The 19,092-nt window shown below is 44.5% G+C and overlaps 1 protein-coding gene across 15 annotated transcripts in view, besides 6 other annotated features; it reads left to right on the top strand.

The window, feature by feature from the left end:
• The window catches only part of TCF7L2 (transcription factor 7 like 2), a 217,432-nt gene that overhangs the window by 101,903 nt on the left and 96,437 nt on the right, over nt 1-19,092 (top strand). The gene's annotated exons all lie outside the window — the stretch shown is intronic.
• Nucleotides 818-1,796: an enhancer, noted in NCBI's record as "OCT4-NANOG-H3K27ac-H3K4me1 hESC enhancer chr10:114812726-114813704 (GRCh37/hg19 assembly coordinates)". NCBI's record gives its function as "activates a minimal SCP1, AML or CMV promoter by ChIP-STARR-seq in primed H9 embryonic stem cells {active_cell/tissue: H9 hESC(primed)}" and the evidence as "EXISTENCE:reporter gene assay evidence [ECO:0000049][PMID:30033119]".
• Nucleotides 818-2,775: a biological region, named in NCBI's record as "OCT4-NANOG-H3K27ac-H3K4me1 hESC enhancers GRCh37_chr10:114812726-114813704 and GRCh37_chr10:114813705-114814683".
• Nucleotides 1,761-2,055: a silencer, noted in NCBI's record as "identical tiled regions #1227 and #6337; K562 Repressive non-DNase unmatched - State 22:ReprW". NCBI's record gives its function as "represses a minimal TATA promoter and a strong SV40 promoter by Sharpr-MPRA in K562 cells {active_cell/tissue: K562}" and the evidence as "EXISTENCE:reporter gene assay evidence [ECO:0000049][PMID:27701403]".
• Nucleotides 1,797-2,775: an enhancer, noted in NCBI's record as "OCT4-NANOG-H3K27ac-H3K4me1 hESC enhancer chr10:114813705-114814683 (GRCh37/hg19 assembly coordinates)". NCBI's record gives its function as "activates a minimal SCP1, AML or CMV promoter by ChIP-STARR-seq in primed H9 embryonic stem cells {active_cell/tissue: H9 hESC(primed)}" and the evidence as "EXISTENCE:reporter gene assay evidence [ECO:0000049][PMID:30033119]".
• Nucleotides 4,703-5,202: an enhancer, noted in NCBI's record as "H3K4me1 hESC enhancer chr10:114816611-114817110 (GRCh37/hg19 assembly coordinates)". NCBI's record gives its function as "activates a minimal SCP1, AML or CMV promoter by ChIP-STARR-seq in primed H9 embryonic stem cells {active_cell/tissue: H9 hESC(primed)}" and the evidence as "EXISTENCE:reporter gene assay evidence [ECO:0000049][PMID:30033119]".
• Nucleotides 5,994-6,622: an enhancer, noted in NCBI's record as "H3K27ac-H3K4me1 hESC enhancer chr10:114817902-114818530 (GRCh37/hg19 assembly coordinates)". NCBI's record gives its function as "activates a minimal SCP1, AML or CMV promoter by ChIP-STARR-seq in naive H9 embryonic stem cells {active_cell/tissue: H9 hESC(naive)}" and the evidence as "EXISTENCE:reporter gene assay evidence [ECO:0000049][PMID:30033119]".

A 19,092-nucleotide genomic window follows, 5' to 3' on the forward strand; every position in this document is an offset into this window, starting at 1 on the left:
AGAAGATCCTGCAGCCCCGAAAGGCTACAGTGTTGATCCAAGGACTCTGAGCCGAGTGCAGGGTTTGTACTTGGACCTGCAGGCTGGGTGGCGTCTGTGGGAGCAGTGTGTTGAGAGAGATTCTGAGGCTGTATGTGTCAGGGCCTCCAGGGGAAGGATGCATTGATGGATTAATTTCTGCCAAGGCTGAAAGAGGAGAGAGTAAGAGGCTGTAGAGGTGTCACAGCTGTCATTGCTGTTTTAGGCAGTCAAGCTTTTGGGAAAGTGTCAGAAATTGAGCCCCCTACTGGATCTATCGGAGCCCTGTCAAATGTCCATTTAGATGTCCTGGTGAACAAAAGTTCTCTGACTCACCATTTAAAAACTTGTTCCAAATGAAATTATGGGAGAAAGGAACATTTTTCATCCGAACCCAGAATGAGGATGTACCCAAGGAAAAGGACGTAGGCTCAGGAGCTGGACTGTGGCTCAGCTGGCCTGATGTATCCCACTTTGTTCCTCCCATGGCTGGGATGTCTCTTTGCTCTCCATGACCCATGTATCTTGAGGACATGACACATGGACCAAGCTTGAACTGCGGATTCATTTTTATGCATTCTACCTGTGAATGATTGCAGCGGATCTAGTCGTATTTCTGAGAGTTACTCAAACTGGACTTCAGCAGTGAACTCTACAGTTCTCTTTTCCTCCCACCTTTCTATTAGACATTGCATGATACAAAAATCAAGATATTTCTAAGAGGGTGATAACTTCAATGTTATCTAAACTTTTAATTTGGAAGAAGAGGGGTTCTTTGTTCTTTTTAAAAAGATACAAACGAACTTCTTTATCTGATTCTTTTTTTGGTGCAAACCCATGATGCCTTCTTCCTGATTCATCTGCTACACTGTGAGTTCAAGCCTGGCGTGGGACACAGGCACAGCTCTCATGCCAACGATCTCATGGTTAAGTTTTGGAACATAATTTGAAAAATGTAACCCATTGAGAGGCAGTAAGGACATACGGTGAGCTAGTGCGTGTTTGGACGTCTGTGTGGAATAAGTGAGTGGGTAGAGAGGACATTTGTCAAGGAGCGGGAGGGCGGGCCATTGGCTTGGGGGAAATGGGCTGAGACTCTAGGGGTGGCCAGCACCGCATACGGAGGCCAGCAGGGTTGGGCTTGGCTAAGTGCTGTGGTGTCTGGATGCCTATGTGAGTTTCCTCCAGAAGTTTTCAGTTGGCAAAGTAGAACCTGCTGGATATGTAGCAAGGGTGTGGATTGTCGGGATCCTGCTGGGCGCAGGCGTGTGATACCAGAGGTCAGAACAGAAGCTGAGGGATGAGGCTTTGGGAGCTTTTTGTCATGCACTGTCCTGGAGCCTCAGTTACTACAAAGTCTGCAAATGATAGACCGGAGCTTTGGTTCTGCCTGATGCTAGCTCCCCTGTTCCTGATTTTTCTTTTCAATATTAGACTTAATCCCAGAATTCACATGTTGAAAGAAAACTTAGAGGTCTAGTGACATAAAAGCCTCATTTTGATCGTTACAGAACTGATGCCTTGAGAAATGGAGAGAGAAGTACACGATCATGGTAATACTGGATGTTCACTGAGCACTCACTAGCTCCAGGCCTTTTCTAAGTAATTTATGAAGTTGTCAGGTTTAATCCTCACAACGCCCTTATGAATGAGCTATTGTTATTATCCCGATTTGGCAGATGAGGAAACTGAGGCTTGAGGGGAGGATGACGTACTCAAGGTCACACAGCTGGGAGGCGGCAAGCTGGAAGTTGAACCCAAGGAGTCTCACATCGGAGCCAGGACTCTCACCCTTCAGTGTTATGCTGCCTTAATCAGGCACACATACAGGCGGGGAGAGGCAGGTTTCCGGACACCAGACTAGGCTGGTGCCGGTCAGGCTACACCAGGGAACCTGGAGGCCTGTCATTCTTTTGTGATGCTGTTAGTTCCTGTTGAGGAAGTGAGGCTTTGTGGGTTCCCAGGAGGAAAAGGTATGAACTCATGGCAAAAGAAAGGAACCAAAAAAGGGAGATTTGCATCACAATGAGCCTTCTATTCATCCTAAATTATACCTCCTTTTATACCATGTGTGTCTGCAAACTTGTGGGTAAATCACAAATCTTTCTGGTAAGTTACAATGGATGGAAGGTTTTTGCATTTCTCTCAAATCACCAACCATTTAATGCTATGTGTAGTCACTCCCTAATCTATCTTTTGTATAAATTTGGATCTTTGAGTATTGGGGTTTTCCATGATGTTTGGCAGTTCCCCTTAGGGTGTCTATCTCAAAGTTTGTCACACTGACAAGCTTTGGGGAGAGAAGTTAGAGGTGGGCTTCCCTGTTTTTAGTGGCTGTGTCTGATTGTTCTGTCTGTTCTCCAGGACAGGAGAGATTGATTGCTTTCTAGCTTTTTTTAAAATTAAAACAACAACAACAAAAAAATACAGAAAGGTACAAAGGATAACAAACACATTCATGTACCTGCCACCTAAAATAACAATTACTAATCTTTTCACCCTCCTAGCCCATGATCTTCCCTCCCAGGCTGTTATTAATATGAAAACCGAGTTCAGGTTTTTATACTTTTCGACATCTATTTATATTAACGTATGTATTATAAATAATCTTAGTAGTTTTTAACTTTGACATAAGTGGCTTCACATTCCACATAACATTCTGCAGCATGTTTTCTTTTATTTTTATTTTTTTCTTTATTTTTAAATTTTTATTTTGCAGCATGCTTTTCTTATTCAACATTACATTTGAATTTTTTCAACATTGTACATTGAAATTTAGCTCATTCTTTTTAACTGCTCTGTAGTATTTATTGTATGCATATACTACAGCTTTCTATTTCTGTATTGATGGTTAATTAGGTTGCTTACAGTTTTTTAAGATTACAGATTCTGCTGTAATAACCATCCTTTGGGCAAGTGTATGTAGGTACCTATATATGAGTTTCTCTAGGATTCATACCAAAGTAGAGGAATTGGTAGGGCATTGGTTTGCTGGTTTTAATTTTAATTCACATGCTATTGTCAAGCTCTCCAGAACAACTGGATGAGTTGATTGGATCAATGAGTATTTCCATCACCAGCATATAAACTCTTTCCTCATAATCACACCAATGCTTGATCCTGTTGGACTTAAAATTTTTGCCAATTTGCTGGGTATGCAACGGCATCTTACCTAATTTGCCTTTATTTGATGACTCCTGAGGTTGAACATCTGGTCATATGTTTATTTTCTCCTCTGTGGCTTGCCTGGTTTAATGCCTTCTTCATTTTAAAGAATCAGATAGTTTTCTGTTATTGATTTATAGGAACTCTTTATATAAGTTGAAAACTTGATTATATGTGTTGGAAATACTTTTTCTAGGCTGTGATGTTTTAAAATATTGCTTTAGATGGGTTTTCATTTTTACCTTTTATTTTAGAGATGGAGTCTCACTGCATTGCCCAGGCTGGATTGCAGTGGCTATTCACAGGAAAGAGCATAGTATGTTACAGCCTCCACCTCCTGGTACCAAGAGGTCCTCCTGCCCCAGCCTCCTGAATAGGTGGGACCACAGGTGCACATCACTGTGCCTAGCTTTGGATGGGTTTTGAAAGAAAGAAGTTTTAAATTTTAATGCCCTCAAATTCATCTGTATTTTCCTCTGTGCTTTTATTTTGTACCCACTCTAAGTAGCTCCGAATTCTGCAGATAGTTGGTGCAGGAATTCTGATTTTGAGTGGACATCTGCTCTCTAACAGTCACATTGAAGGAAATTAGGTTTTTTTGGTAGGAATCTAAGCAAGGGGTTGATTTGTAAACTAGGCTTTAAATATGATTTTAAGCAACTCACTTAGAACAAGATACAAAAATTGTGGACTGGACCTATATCTGGAAAACTTGAAAGTGCTAGGGCAATAAATAATTCTTGGTCACATACAGCCGAGATCCTGGGCTCCTGACTCTGGGACAGAAGCTTTCTATATTTTATCTCATCAGTCTTTGCAACAGGCTCCTTGAAGCAATTTTATCCCCATTTTAGAGATAAGAAAACCAGAGCTTAAAGCAGTTAGATAATTTATGAAGTAAGTGGCAGAGCCAAGATTCAAATCCAGACCTTTCTGACCACAAAGCTCGTTGCTGAATACCGCGCCTCATTGCCTTCTTGCGAATTACTTGGGATTTGTTTGAATCCCAAAATCTTTATATGTTATTTTAAATTTGAATCTAATTGGAAGTGGGGCAGTGAGGGTAGAGGACAGAAAGAAGGGGAAGAGCTTGAGACTCAATAATAGAAACAAAAAACCCGTCTCCAGGAGGGCGGTTCAAAAGGAAGAATTCCATATTTCATGTAACTGAAACGTTAAAAGCCCAAATAATTGCATCATGCAAGTCTGATGCTGAGTAATCACCCTCCCCCATATTATTGGGGAGAGGGGGCAAGAAGTCTGGGAAGCTGTTTTTGCCTAAGGAATTACATTCCAGGGGACTCTGAGGATTTAGGTAACCACAAAAGCCATTTATTTCGAGTACACTGAGATTTCTACCACTTTGATCCCTAATCCATAGCATAATTAATAAATGAAATGTGCTGTAGCATGGGTTTTTTACAAAGTGTACTTTTAAAATGGCTTTTGGTCTGACATGATTCATTTGCCACTTGGAAAAGCGTCATCGCCTCAGATGGGCAGGCTGGGAGAGGCTGCCTGGTGGGTAGCTGAGGGCGGTTTCCTGGGGCACAGTTCCTGCCTTGGGCCTCTACAGAGCGGTCTCATCCAAACATCTCCCAGACTCTGCGTTTTCCAGGAAGCGTGCAGAAATAGGAGGCCAGTACTGAAATGCTATCTGCTCTGTGTATGTCAGAAGACCACAAACCACTTATAACAAATGAAGATCTTTTTATTTGTTCTTATCCCTTTATGTCACTTGAGGAAAGTTGCTGTGAGTAGGTGATGATCATTACAGTGATCACTGGTTGCCCAAACTGAGAAGCCAGACATTTGGCTTGGTTTCTCTCCCTTCCTCTTGTCTCTCCTACCCTGTAAACACATACTTGGTGATTACCCATGGGGAGACAAGACAGGCTGGGAATATATACTTCTGCAACTTCAGCCTCCTGGGTTCCAGCGATTCTCCTGCCTCAGTCTCCAGAAGAGCTCGGATTACAGGTGTGCACCACCAGGCCCAGCTAACTTTTTGTATTTTTAGTAAAGATGGGGTTTCATCATGTTGGCCAGGCTGGTCTCGAACTCCTGACCTCAGGTGATCTGCCCTTCTCGGCCTCCCGAAGTGGTGGGATTATAGGCGTGAGTCACCGAGCCTGGCCCCAGGCAATAATATACCAGTGGGCAAGAAAATATTCTTGCTCTCATGGGACTTCTGTTGGGGGTCAGGGTATAGGGAGGAAGGCATAGAGATGAAAACCAGTAAATAAGTAACAGGGGAAAACATTTTAAATACATTAATAACTAATAAAATAGAAATAAATCTGTTGGCTACTTAACAGGATGTGCCACATTCCAGATACATTACGTTAATCCTTATGATCTTTGGGGGCTAAGTATTAGTATTCCATTTTACGGATGAAGAGACTGAGGCTCAGAGGGAAGGGAGGTGGCTTTTCTCAGGTGGAAAGCCAGACCTTTTCAGTGGTCATTCAGTTCATAGCTAAGGTCTTATTTTCTGTGCTCTCTGTCGGCTGAAAATGGGCAAGGTAATTTCACATAGTGACAGGAGCCATGTCAGAGAAAGAGCAGGACAGTGGGACAGAGAGGGACCAGGCTGGGGGCTGTTTGAGATGGAGGGTCAGGAAGAACCAAACTAAGATGTGAACAGTGGGAGGTGTTGGAGCTGTGGTGCTTGCCTAGAAGGACCCTCATCGAGCAAATAGAAGCTTCTGGCAGGAAGAAGTTAATGTCTTGCGTGTGCCCTATGTAGGTTCATTAGGGCCTTTAAAGGGGGAAGAAGGTGGTGGCTATAAATGTTACAATCTTACCTTTGGCCCCTAGGGATTCTGTCTTTCAACCTTGGTTCAGTAACAACTTGTGACTGCCCAACAGGGCTTCCTTTCGGGAGAGAATGGCTTGTTACATTCAAATATGCCATGAAAGTATCACCATTTATTTCAGTGTCTGATGCCCCAGCTTGGGCAGCCTGAGCAGGCTCTGAATGGGTCTGAAGAGGCCCTTTAGAGTAGAGATGAAGAGGGGGTGGGGAATCCTCAATTCTAAACAAAGAGTCTGCAATGGGAAGATGGCCAAATGCTGTTTTTGGAGTGGGTGAGAGGGAAAAGAAAGGTATAGATGGTTCGTTGGAAAATGTGGTTTTATACCGGGTTTTGGTGTCAGGTCCCCGAGGGCAACATGGACTCCACACTGTGATCCTCCGGGCAGCTCATAGCCCCAGCCCCTTCCTTTTGCTTCCTGGTCAGTTTGTGAGAAGGAGGGGTTGTGTCTCCAATCTGAGCAATAAGGGGTCTGAGGGGGGTTGGATCCATGTGGCTTTCCTGTGTCTTGTTCCTTGTAAAAGTTCCAGGTTTTGGGTCGTGAGCTGTGTGTGTGTGTGTGCGTGTGTGTGCGCTGTACGTTAATATGGAGAGATGGGCTTGGGCCAGTGGGAAATAGAGAGACCCGCAAGCACAGAGTGACAGGGTTTGATAGTAAGCAGCAGGCCAGCGTTGCTGCTTTTATTCCTCGGTAAATCCTTGCACAATGCCATATGCTCTTGCATTCCGTAGCTGCTGCATAGGGTGTGATTTAGTTAATGCCCGCTCTGCAAACAGGAAACGGTGCTCACTGCTGTGTATGCTTTTCATGGAGATAAAGTGTCAGGAGCAAGACCCCAAACCTGCGAAATCACTAATGCAACCGCCCCCCATGCCCCAAAAGGTGGGAGTGGGGGATAAAAAGAGTAGGAAAGTGGTGTGGGGAGGGGAAGCTTTAGGGCCATAACTCAGACAATTTGTCAGGCAGTGGCATCGGTTGGGAGGAAAATATTGATGTACACTTTTTGTTTTTGAACCTGAAGTTTGGGTTTTTTCGGATGCATTGGAGGACTTTTAAATGTTTTCGGAGTGCCAGAGTTTGGACTGTTAGGTCACCGTAGGTACCGGCTTGCATATCATTTCAGAGGAATATTTTCAAAACTCCATAAAAACATGCGGCTTTCAAGGCTGGACCACTTGTTCAGGTCCTCCTCCCACCCCCCACCCTTTTTGGCAAAACCATGCAAACATTGGTATTCAAAAATATTTTGTTACTTTTCTTGGCAAAGTGTTCCAAGAAGGAATTGCAACACAGTCTCAGAGTTAGGAGGCAACTTTCTGGGGAAAAGGCGGGGGTTGGGGAGGTTTGGAGTTTGAATCAAAAACAGACACCGAAGCTTTAATAAAATAAATGAAGCGGAGCCCTTTCAGCTCACGGTGGACTGTGTTGGTGCGCGGGTCAGGCTTTAACGTGCCTAGTGGAAATTGACAGTCTGAGAACTGGGACATAAACAAAAATGTCAGTCCCTGGGAGTCTTGTTCACTGGACAATGTCTCAATTGTTCCTTTGGTTTTCAAGGCAGCAGGGAGAGTGGAATATTAACTGTTTACTGCCCAAAGCTGGCTCGGAAATTGCTTGGAGAAGGGGAGAAAAAAGACAGAAAATCACATTTTTTATTTAGAAACTATTAAACATGTCAGTAAGAGATAGGAAAAGAGCAGATTGTTTTCTCCTTAATTATCTGCCATTCACTTCCATATTTCTGCATACCATTTTTGGGGTGTGTGTGTGTGAAGGAACAGCAGGGTGTTTCTTTTTAAATTTGAATGTTAGCCTTGCATATTGTCAGTTTTTAAAGCTTGCTGGCATGTAGATTATCCGCCCCCGGTGGATATGACAGTGGGCTTTAGGAAAGGAAGTGTGATTTCTGATAACATTTACATCTTAGCTGTTCAGCGGATACCCTGTTAGTGTTTGTTCTTCAGAATGCTCAGATAGAACAAAAATCAAGTGGTTGGAATTTTAAAAAACAAAATGTATTTGGCTCTCCATAAAAATGCATTTAGTGATAAAGGGGGGCAGCAAGTAACTATGTCTGAGAGAAGGAATTGCAGGCACAGAGGAGATCCAGAATTCTGTTCACACTTGAATTTACTTGATTCGAGAAACAAACAGCAAAGCCTGGTGTATTGGCCTTTATCTGGGCAAAGTTCAAAACTCAACTGGTAATTATGTCCTTAGAAGCCTTAAAAGGACTGTGTTGTTACAAAAGCAGTGACTGAGCTTACTTCTTCAGGACCGAATGCACTCGAGTTGTTTGTTAGATAAACTTGTTTTAATAAATGGGGGGGTCAGGGGAGAGGTTTCTGTTCTTGGAAGATTCCCTGATAAGTAGCTTTCTTCTCTTGGAGAACTTCAGGCTTTCTCTCCAAGCGAGGGGTTTGCAGGCAGCTAAAGTCAGCTTCGGCTTCTGCTTCCTGTCAGTCAGGAAGTCACTTCCTTAACCCAAATTACAAGCTAGAGCACAACTCCCCAGCCATACCGAAAAGAGCAGGTTTTTCCCAGAAGACTGTGTTTCTAGATGCGGAAGTGTAAATTGGTACGCTGTGTGATCATGGAATGCCCAAAATACATAGGGAACAGTGTTGTTGGAAAGAGGCGCTGTGTCCCCAAGGAGAAGACGCCGCCCAGAATGGCTGGATCGCCTGTTGTGGCTGAGTGCGAGGCAGCTGTGGCTGGCTGCTGTGTGACGATGACCTAGTAGCCACCCATGTGGAGTCCTGGCTGCCTCAGAACCCTATCACATCTAGGCAAAATCTTGCATTTTTTATCTGGGAGGCCTGAGGACTTCAGGGCTGGTGGATAGTAAGCTCCTTGGTTATCTCACAGATACAAGAGGTCTTGGGAATCCACGATCAAACTTGATGTGTGCGTTTACCCTCCTCCCTTTGAATCTGTTATTCAAATATTTAAGCCTCCAACCTTGTGGCCCCTACCTGCACCACCCCTCACCCCCCCGACAAAAATCAAGCTCTTGACCTCATGGCTTCTTTCAGTGACCCTTGGGGGACAGGGTTTCCCAAGGCTGGTTGCCAGCTGGCATGGTCCCCCGTTGGTGAAGTGGAGACCTGTGTTTTTTTGGTCATTTTGCAAAGAGCTTATGGATGACAGCAGTTCTCTGTGCCTCGCTGGGACAGAGTGTATTCTGAGGTCCAGCGTCTGCATGGAGATCTGCCTATCCTTCACTTGGGGTGCTCAGTAGATAACGCGGCCACTTTCCTATACATTTCCTTAATTTAAGGGAACAGCGTAAACTCAGCCCAGGTGGATTAATCTCTCCAGTGACTTTTGAAACTTCAATTTCCAATTTCCCTCTTATGTCTAGGTGTGAGTGAGGATACGTGTAGTAATTGTCGCAGGTATTAGTGAGAAAGGGTGCAGATCACACAAATATTTCACACGTTATTAGTTGGACCAGACTTTGGAGGCAAGGGAGGGCCGTGTCACCTAGGAAATTTGCTCTTCCGTGGAGATGAAAGGGCAGTGAATTAAGTGCCTGCTTTTTCTCCCTTTTTCCCTCTGACGGTTATTGATCCTCCCCTGGAACTGTACAGTTCACGTTCTGATCTTTTTCTTGACAAAGGGAATTCCCAGTTTGTTCGCTGGCGAACGCACTAGCAGGTGAGGAGTTAAAAGTTGGCAACGCCTGCCCTCTCGAGAGTGTCAGGATTTTTAGTCTCTTCCTTGAGAGCTAGAAGATGTTTCTAAAAGAATCTCTTTGGTGACTTAGAAGTGGAGAGAGCTTTAGAAGCATGGCACAAATAAAAGGAAAGAGGCAAACACCGTCATTCTACATCTGTTTATTTTGTTATTAACAAAAGGCAAGGCGATTTTCATTAAAGTTTTGCTGGGGTTGGGGTTGAGGGTGTAGAGAGCAAAAGTGTGAGTTGTACACCATGACTGGAATCGCTTGGACATACTCTTCAGCAGACATCGTGTGACTGTGGAAGAAATGAGTTTCATGAAGATGACTGATAGAAGGAAGCCACTGAACCAGTCCTCTATCACCTCTTCCAAGGCTAAAGTTTGGAGCCACTTGCAGAAGGCTCTCCTCAAACCCCTGTGTTCTTTGCCTACCCCTGCTGTTGCCACATCATCTTGGAGAGCTGGCTGCTTCCCTCCTCAACTAGAAGTTCCTAGTGCCTGCTTAGTTCTTGTCTCTTGCTTCCCAAGTGCTCACAAAATACATCCATGTTCGCTACGAGGAAATGGACCACATAAGGTTTCCGTGAAAACCTTAGCCCTTAGGTCTAACACAGTAGGAACAGAAGTTAATGTTTTCCTGACGTAGAAGTTTCTCTTGCTGCTTCTGGTCACATTTCTTTCTTGTGTGGTTCTTCTATGGCTACTGCACTTTTTTTTTTTTCTTACTGTCTCCCCCTTCCCCCACACACCACCTTTTGGGGATAGGGTGGCAGGTGAGAATATAAACAGATAATGGTTAAGAGATAGTTTAGTCTTTCTAGGCCAGATTATTTAGTTTTTGCCATCTAGGTAAAATTCGGTCCAATTAAGCGTCCATTAAGTGTTTTAATATAAGCTGGAGAAGGAGTTGAACCTGGAGGTCAGGGCTCTGTGGTCTATTACAGTCCCCCTGGGGTCTCTAGCCCAAGGGAGACTCCAGGGTCTTAATAAATGACTGGGGGTTTCATTTTGAGGCCTTTACTACCAAAGACTGAATAATACATTGGGCATGATGGTTTTGTCCTAAACATTAACAGCCACAAAAGGTAGAGAGTGTGTCTGTTTATAGATACACATGTATCATGAATAATTAGTTGGGGACTGTGCATCAGGTCTCTCATTTTACATTCGAGGAAGCAATGCACGGAATGAATTCTGGACCTGCGAACTCTGAATTTCAATTCTCTGTCTCCTACTTTTACTGGAGTGCTTGCAAACAGTACAGTGTTTTTGTTGTGAAGTTATACCGTGCCTGTAATCTCTCTGCGGGTGGCCCTCCTAAGCCCTACTTCAAGAAATAGCTCTAAGCTCATGACACCCGCCCCACCCGATGCCTACATATGTCTTATATCCTTGGAGTAGTGTTTGGGGTTGCAAATTTGACTTTAGGGAGACATACTCTCTGATGATAGGCTAATGCTTATATTTACTGATAAACTTCCTTTTTGACGGTCATGGGCTTCGGGGGCCACCCAACCAAACTGTGTGGCTGCTTTTATGTTGGGCCAAAAGACAGGCTCCTTGTGTCCTCCCAGTTTCTTAAACAATGAAGTCATGGCATTTTACAGTGCTGGTGAATGGATTGAGATTGTGGTGGCCCTGGAATGTGGCACTGCTCTGGCTGGAGGGAAGATGAGAGTGAGGGATGGAGAGGAGAGGAGAGCGGGAGATGGGAACCTGGTGGACACAGGAGGGAGTGTGAGTTCTGAGGGCCAAAGGAAACTTGACACCGGATGGGACATTAATCTGATTCTGTTATCTGAGGCTGTCACCAGTCCTCCCTGTCCTCCTGGCATGCTTCTGTTGAAACCCCCACACCCGGGTGATTCCTTGCCTCTCCCAAGGAGCCGGAGGGTGGAGAAAGCAACAAGAAAAAGGAGCCAAGAAAAGAGCAATGAAAGAGTTCTTTAGGAAAAGGGGAAGGTCCCGAGAGATCTGGTAAATGTTAAACTGAAGGGCCAGGCATGAGGAAGAGTAGGCAGTAGGAGAAGAGTGTATGTGTGTGTGCACATGGATGTGGCGTGTGTGTGTGTGTGTGTGTGTGTGTGTGTTTCGTTGGATGGATGGATGATGTGTCGTCATCCAAGCAGATTCAAGGAGGTTCCTAAAAGGCAGTGAGGTTCCTGAAATAGACAAGTCTAGGGAACTCCTGCGAGGAAGGGGAGGCGTTTATTGGTATTTGGAGAGATTGTTAAGAGCTTGCTGGAGTCAGGTGGAGTCCCTGCCATTTTGCCTCTCATCTCCTGAAGAAGGACTGTTTCTTTTGGGATATGTAACAGGCTTCCAATCAGGCATCACAATTTTCTTGCTTGAGGTGTTTATTCTTTCACTCAAGCTAGCCGGAAGGAGCCTAATACCTGTCAGGAACTGCCTCCTCTGGGAGAGGGAGGGGCCAGGCCCAAATGGTGGCTGCAGAGGTATTTACCAGCTGGTTCCGTGCTCTGCAGAAGGTTGGTGAACATGTAAATGCGGGTAGTAGGCTCACATCTGCTTCTGTTTTTCCTTTTTCTGTAGGCCAGGCTGAAAGCTTAATAAATTGTACGAAACCCAAGTAAGCATGGATGTTAAAGAACATTAAATAAATTATATAAGTATGCCTACCTGTAACACTTTTATAAGGCAAATGCACATGGGTTATTTTGCCATAAACGTGCACATGGACCAAGATTTATTCTAAAGCCCTCTTGTTTCAGCCTTGCTGCTGGTGAAGGTACTACTGTTCATCAGCTTTTCCCTTTTTTACCTGGCATGCACTGTAGCTGGTCTTGGAAAATGCGATAATGATGCCATAAGTACCCTTGTGCAAAAGTTGTTTTTTGTTCCAAAACATTGCCAGTTCACGGCATATAAAACTACCACGGATGCTTCAGCCGGGTTTCTTTTTCTCCAAATAAGGCAAGCATTAATGAAGCAGCTGAGGGCTTGGGAAAATATTTTGTCATTCCCAAAATGAAATTTCTTCCCCTCTCTAGGCCTGCCCATTGATTTTTCAGCTGAAGCACAAGTGTCTAGCCAGACTTGGTGAACAGTAGGCCTTGCACCTAAACTTGTCAATTGCCATTGTCACCTCTAATGACCATTGATATAAATAATGCTCAGCCTTCATATTTCCATGCATATTCACCCAGAGACCAGAAGGCTTTGTGTAGAGGATGGTGGGATCATCCCATTCCATAGGGAAAAAAGGGCCAGGTTCCCTGACTCCACCTGTCATTGAATTACAAGCTGGGAAGCTGGGCCAGGCAGAGCTCCAGTTGCCAGACACTGTGGCCGCTCTGGTACCAGCTACTCCTAGTACCCAGTGCAGGCAAGGTGTTTAGTGTGGCCTATGAGGATGTTGTTTACCAGGCAGCAACCTCATGAATAGGCAAAAGGCCTGTTTTGAATGCCTCCTGTTTAGAAGTCTGAAATGTCACATCCAGACAGTTTGGAAACATTTTAGGTGGAGTCAAGGGCAGAGACCAGAAGACATTCATAGATCTGCAGTTGCAGATGGAGACTTTGTTCCAGCTACCCATGGTGTGAGTATACCTTACGGGTGCTATTTGGAATAGGACCTTATTTTTGTTCAGTATATTGGACAAAGTAATTCCTGCTTCCAAACTCACACAGTATTTATGTGGCCCCGGCTGTCTGGCTTATCCACCTGCAGCTGTGGAATTACTTATGAAGCGCTTAATATGCAGCCTCGGTTTCTTTATCTGTTAAGAATCGGGATAACTGGGGCTTCTGAAGGGGTAGGGTCATGTAGCCTGGTGGTTAGGACCTCTGGCTTTAGAGATGGACAGGTTTTGGTTTGGGCTCTGGCTCAGCTGCCTCCTTGCTTTATCAGCTTGAGAAGTTAATAATCTCCAAGTTTCCTTATCTGTAAAGTAAGGAAAATAATAACTACCTCCCTCATAGGTTGTAGTTAGGAAAAAGATGTTGTGAGGCTCAGGTGGTCTGAGGGATATAGAATTGCTTCTCAAACATGATATGTTGCTTTGCCCAATGCTTAGGAGGGAGTTGCGGTTAATAGTTGAAGTGTTCTGCAAGTAAGTCTTTTGGATCAGTATAAGGCTGTGATAATTCTTATTATTTGGTTTGTGTCCGTGCATGAAAGCAGAAAGCAGCCAGAGGAGTCCATGATTCAAGGAGCATGAGAATTACTGTTTGCAACACCATGTTTTCTGAATTCCAGTATACCATCAGTTGTAAGATATGCTTAAGGTTGGACGCGGTGGCTCATGCCTGTAATCCCAGCACTTTGGGAGGCCGAGGAGGGCGGATCACTTGAGATCAGGAGTACGAGACCAGCCTGGCTAACATGGTGAAACCCTGTCTCTACTAAAAATAAAAAAAATTTAGCTGGGCTTGGTGGTGCATGCCTGTAATCCCAGCTACTGGGGAGGCTGAGGCAGGAGAATTGCTTGAACCTGGAAGGCAGAGGTTGCACTGAGCTGAGATTGCGCCATTGCACTCTAGCTTGGGCAACAAGAGCAAAAGTCCGTCTCAAAAAAAAAAAAAAGTTATGCTTTTAATCTAAAAGCAAATTTTCAGGGAGAAAAAGAGCACGGCTCTCTTAACTGTATCTACTTACCATATGCATCTGAATTTCAGATGCGTAAAAATGTAGAAACAATGCGAGTCTTCAAATGGAGGAAATAATGCCTGTGTGCTTATATAATTTGAATAAAAGCTGTGCTGTTTGGAGCCCTAAACTTCAAATGGATGACATGTTAAAAGCTTCCAAACCCACTTTTGATCAAAAATGGGTGGAACCTATGTGGACCAGATTTTTCAGCTGTGCTGAAAGAGTAACAGCAAACCAGAGTCATTGGGCGTGGTTGTGCCAACGATCAGCTCTTAGAAGACCATACCAATCACATTTTACAGGATTCTATTCATGAAGATTCTGCATATCTGTTTCCATGTTGTTTCTGACCATTAAGGAGAGTTGCCGGTATTGACAGATGAGGAGGCTGGGCTGCCCTGCAGCTTGCTTCTCCATAAGCACACCATCAAAAACATGTCCACATTCCAGTCTCACCTTAGCCCATCTCCTCATTGGGAGGAGTTAGGCTGCAGCATGAATGGGAACAATGAATATGGAGGTTTCTTCAGAAGGCGATATTAGAGCATTTAATATACTGCTGTTCTTGTGTATTCTATTGGAAAGAATGGGCAACTGCACATTAACCTTACTGTAAGTGTGATGCATTTGAACATACAGTTAAGAATAGCTCAAAGAATATGCATTTCTGCTGTGAGTGGTTTTGAATAAATCAACATAATAGCCCATGGTTATTAACATATTATGTGAATTGGACAATGATATATACTTTGAGGACCTTGAACTAAATCCACCAGCTAAGAGCAACCCGTAGGAGGGGCTCCAGAAGGACCGGAGTTCTGGGTGTTGAGGTTGTCATACAAAGAAATGAACAGCAGACAACTGGCAGAAGAATTTTCTGGTAATACTCAACCCAAAGTCAATTTTCAAATGCTTGGACTGCAGCACAGAATTGACTAATGTCAGATTAATTGAATTTGGACTTCTAAATGTGGGTCAGTTTGGGTTGGAAGTGATTTTATTATCCAGAAACTTCTGTGTACCCCTCTTCCCCCACAAGAAATATTCAGCCATAATTTTCCCCTGTTGCTGAGCTTCTCTTGCAAAGTTTCTGAGAAGCAGTGAATCTTTCTGTTAGATTTCATAAGAAGTAGTGCTAGGCTTTTGATATAATTACGTTTAGATTTCAAGGAAACTTTCAGTGTGTTGAAAAATAAATTCTAAGGCATAAAGGGGAAGGAGTCCTCGGCTGAGACCCAGACAGCCCGAGTCCTTAGCCCAGTTAGAAACTTGCCATGTGACCTTGAGCAAGTCTTGGCATGCTCTGCCTCATGGTTGAACATTTTTTTTTTTTAAGTGGGGAGGGTTATATATGACCTTCTTTTTGTCCCTTTAGCTCGGACACTTAGAGGTTTAGTGATCTGTGGGTTTTGTTTGTTTGTATTTTTGGTGGGAGGGGGCTAGAGTACAAAATGGAAAAGAAGATAAGTAGACAGGGGCTCATAATCTTTGAGAACCAGGATTTTCCTTAAATTGCTCTCTTTTGAATCTCCTGGTACCCTTTAAAAAACCTCTTTACCTGGGTGCGAGTCTTCTTCCGTGACACTTAATATAACTTTATGGACCTCAGTTAGACTCTGATGTCCTTTTCAAAACAGTGTTGTTTTTTAAAGTATGAAGTGCTTATTAAACCCGCTTAGGAGATGCAGTCCTAGGAGGCCATTGATCACACGTGAAAACACTCTAGATATAACTCTCCTTTCAAAAAAGTGGCTAATGAAGTATATACCACCTTCCTATTTTGAATAAAGTGCTATGACTGGACAAAATAGAACAACTTTTTGGACAAAAAGGCTGCTGGAGCCGCTGCCGTCTCTATTCTTGCACTGCTTGCTGTTGACAGCCCATGTGTGAGGACACTTTGTTAGTGACATTTAGCCAGTGATTGGCCCATCCAAAAGGCGGTTACCCAGAAGCCCTCGTGAGCAAGCCAGGATGCTGGGAGAGGGATGGGAGGTGGCCTTTTGGAAACAAGGGGACATGGCTGGGTTCTTGTAAGTCATGTGGAGAGTATGATACACCTCTACCCTGCCATGCCATGGCAGCTGGGCCTCGCAGAGATGGACACCAGAATTCACAGCACCAGAGTTCAAACACTAAACACGGGCAGCTGGACATTGGCCTTGGGAGGCCCAGACGTGGAGCACTGTCCTGGACCTCAGGCTGTTTCAGGGACCTCTGTGGCAGGAATTGACTACCCTTCTCTTTCAGGCTCAGCCATGATGTGCTTGGCTGTTCCCTTGGGCTCTCTCTTCTGGAAGCTCGTCCCGTCCGCAGGCCCCCTTGCTGTACTTGTACCTTCATTCTCCATCTCTCAGCTTCTGCGCACTCTGAACTTTGGCCATTCGCATGCTGCCAGACCCCTTCCAACTCTTGGACTCCTCCTTACATCCCTTTACCGTTGGCTCCCAATTCTTTTTTTTTTTTTAATTTCCCAATTAAAACAACAACCACCACCAAGAACAAGAGTTAGGCCCTGCCTACCCTTCTTTGGATGGGGTGTTTGTGCCAAGTAGCATCACCAACTGCTGTTCATCCTTGACATGGGTGTCCTGGGGTCAGGTGTTTCCTCTGGCCCAGTTAGCAGGGAGGAATGTCATATGGTTTAGAAAGGAGGGCCCAGGGCTGGCCGTCTCTTGGAGGGGCCCGGGATGGGGTACGCCCCCTTGGAAGGGGATGGTGGTTGCGGTGGGCGCTGTAAATGTTGTGTCCAGCTCAGAGGGTGCAACAGTGTCTGTAACTCATATTCTTTTTTTTTTTTTTTAGACAGAGTCTCGCTCCTACACCCAGGCTGGAGTGCCGTGGTGCAATCTCAGCTCACTGCAACCTAACCTCCTGGGTTCAAGCAATTCTCCTGCCTCAGCCTCCTGAGTAGCTGAGATTACAGGTGCTCAACCACCACGCCTGGCTAATTTTTGTATTTTTAGTAGAGACAGGGTTTCACCATGTTGGCCAGGCTGGTCTCGAACTCCTGACCTCAAGTGATCCGCCCACCTCTACCTCTCAAAGTGCTGGGATTACAGGCGTGAGCTGCCGTGCCCAGCCAGTATCTATAACTGAAGGCTGTTTATTTCTGCTTGCCTAACCCGTCCAGGAGGATGTGCTGGGGCCATCTGAACAACCATTGACATTCAGACATTATTTAGAAATGGAATTGGGAAGTGTTTAAAAGGCATAGACTAGTCTGGCCTTCTGCCCATTCAGAGACTGTGTATGTAGTCAGTGTACAGTGTATTCATTGAGGGCCCCTCGCTGGATGTTTCAGCCACTCCCTCACAGGTTCTCGTGTCTGCTTGGTACAGTTGAGATCTGCAAGAGCTGATTCATCGGCCTGATTGAGATTCCTTTGTAAAACCAGATATTCAAGAATACTAGTGGCAAGAATGCTTTGGTGAGCGTAAGATAGCGGCTCCCACTGGATCACATGGCTGGTCGGTGTCAGGGAGATCACTGTGGGAGGTAGCAGGAGTCAGTCTTTAAAAAAATTATTGGGCCGGGCATGGTGGCTCACACCTGTAATCTCAGCACTTTGGGAGGCCAAGGCGGGTGGATCATGAGGTCAGGAGATCAAGACCAGCCTGGCCAACATGGTGAAACCCCGTCTCTATTAAAAATACAAAAATCAGCTGAGTGTGGTGGCAAGTGCCTGTAATCCCAGCTACTCGGGAGGCTGAGGCAGGAGAATCCCTTGAACCAGTGAGTCGGAGGTTGCAGTGAGCCGAGATGGTGCCACTGCACTCCAGCCTGGCGACAGAGTGAGACTCCGTCTTAAAAAAAAAAAAATTTATATATATATATATATATATGAATTAATTAATTTAATGTTGCATTAACGAGTGGTATAAGGTTCTTAGCCCTTTGTCTGGTATCTGCTGGGTGTTCAGTATTCATTTCCTCGCTTTCCCTGCATATTTTGAGCTAATAAATGTTTGGGGACACCACTTTCCTGTAGAATCTCATGTAATCCCAAACAGATCCTAGCTGCTTGCTATGGCCCATCTGCGGGACCCGCGTCAAGGCTTTCCCATAAAGGAGAGCCCTGCGGGAATCATCATGTGCCAGGCACTGTGCTAGGCTCTTTAGGTGCATCTTGAAACTTAATCCTCGTGACATTTTGGAGTAGATACTATCATCCCCACAGAAGGTACTGAAGTCTCAAGCACATTAATAGCTTACCTAAATATTGCTAAGGGTCTTCCAGATGATCTTTAGGAAATTTTCAGCCAGGGGAGAGTGAAAGCTCTATTTGCTATAGTTAAAGCAAGGAACCCTCCTTCTTAAAAAATTATACAGTTATTGAGATATAATTCACATACCTTACAATTCATCCATTTAAAGCATGCAATTCAGTGGTTGTAGTAGATTCAGGAGTTGTGCGAGCATCGTCACAGTCAATTTTAGAACATTTTCATCACCTTCCACAAAACCCCCGTGTCTCCTAGTAGCCACTCCCCATTTTCCCTAAGTCCCACAGTCCTAGGCAACAACTAATATATTTTCTGCATCTATGGATTTGCCTATTCTGGACATTTCATATAGATGAAATCATAGGCCCGTGGTCTTTTGTAACTGACTTCTTTCACTTAGCAAATGGAAGGGTTTTTGATGGAATCTTAGCTCAGATGTCGCCCTAGGCTTGGCCTTCTGGAACTCACTGTTCTCTTGCTTCCTTCCACCCTGCCTCCCTACCCGCTTTGCTACAAGAAGACAGAATGTAGAAACCCCCAGTTGACTTTTTGAGTAGAAATGAGCCATGT

This window comes from Homo sapiens, chromosome 10 (genome assembly GCF_000001405.40).
Source record: "Homo sapiens chromosome 10, GRCh38.p14 Primary Assembly".
Taxonomy (NCBI): domain Eukaryota; kingdom Metazoa; phylum Chordata; class Mammalia; order Primates; family Hominidae; genus Homo; species Homo sapiens.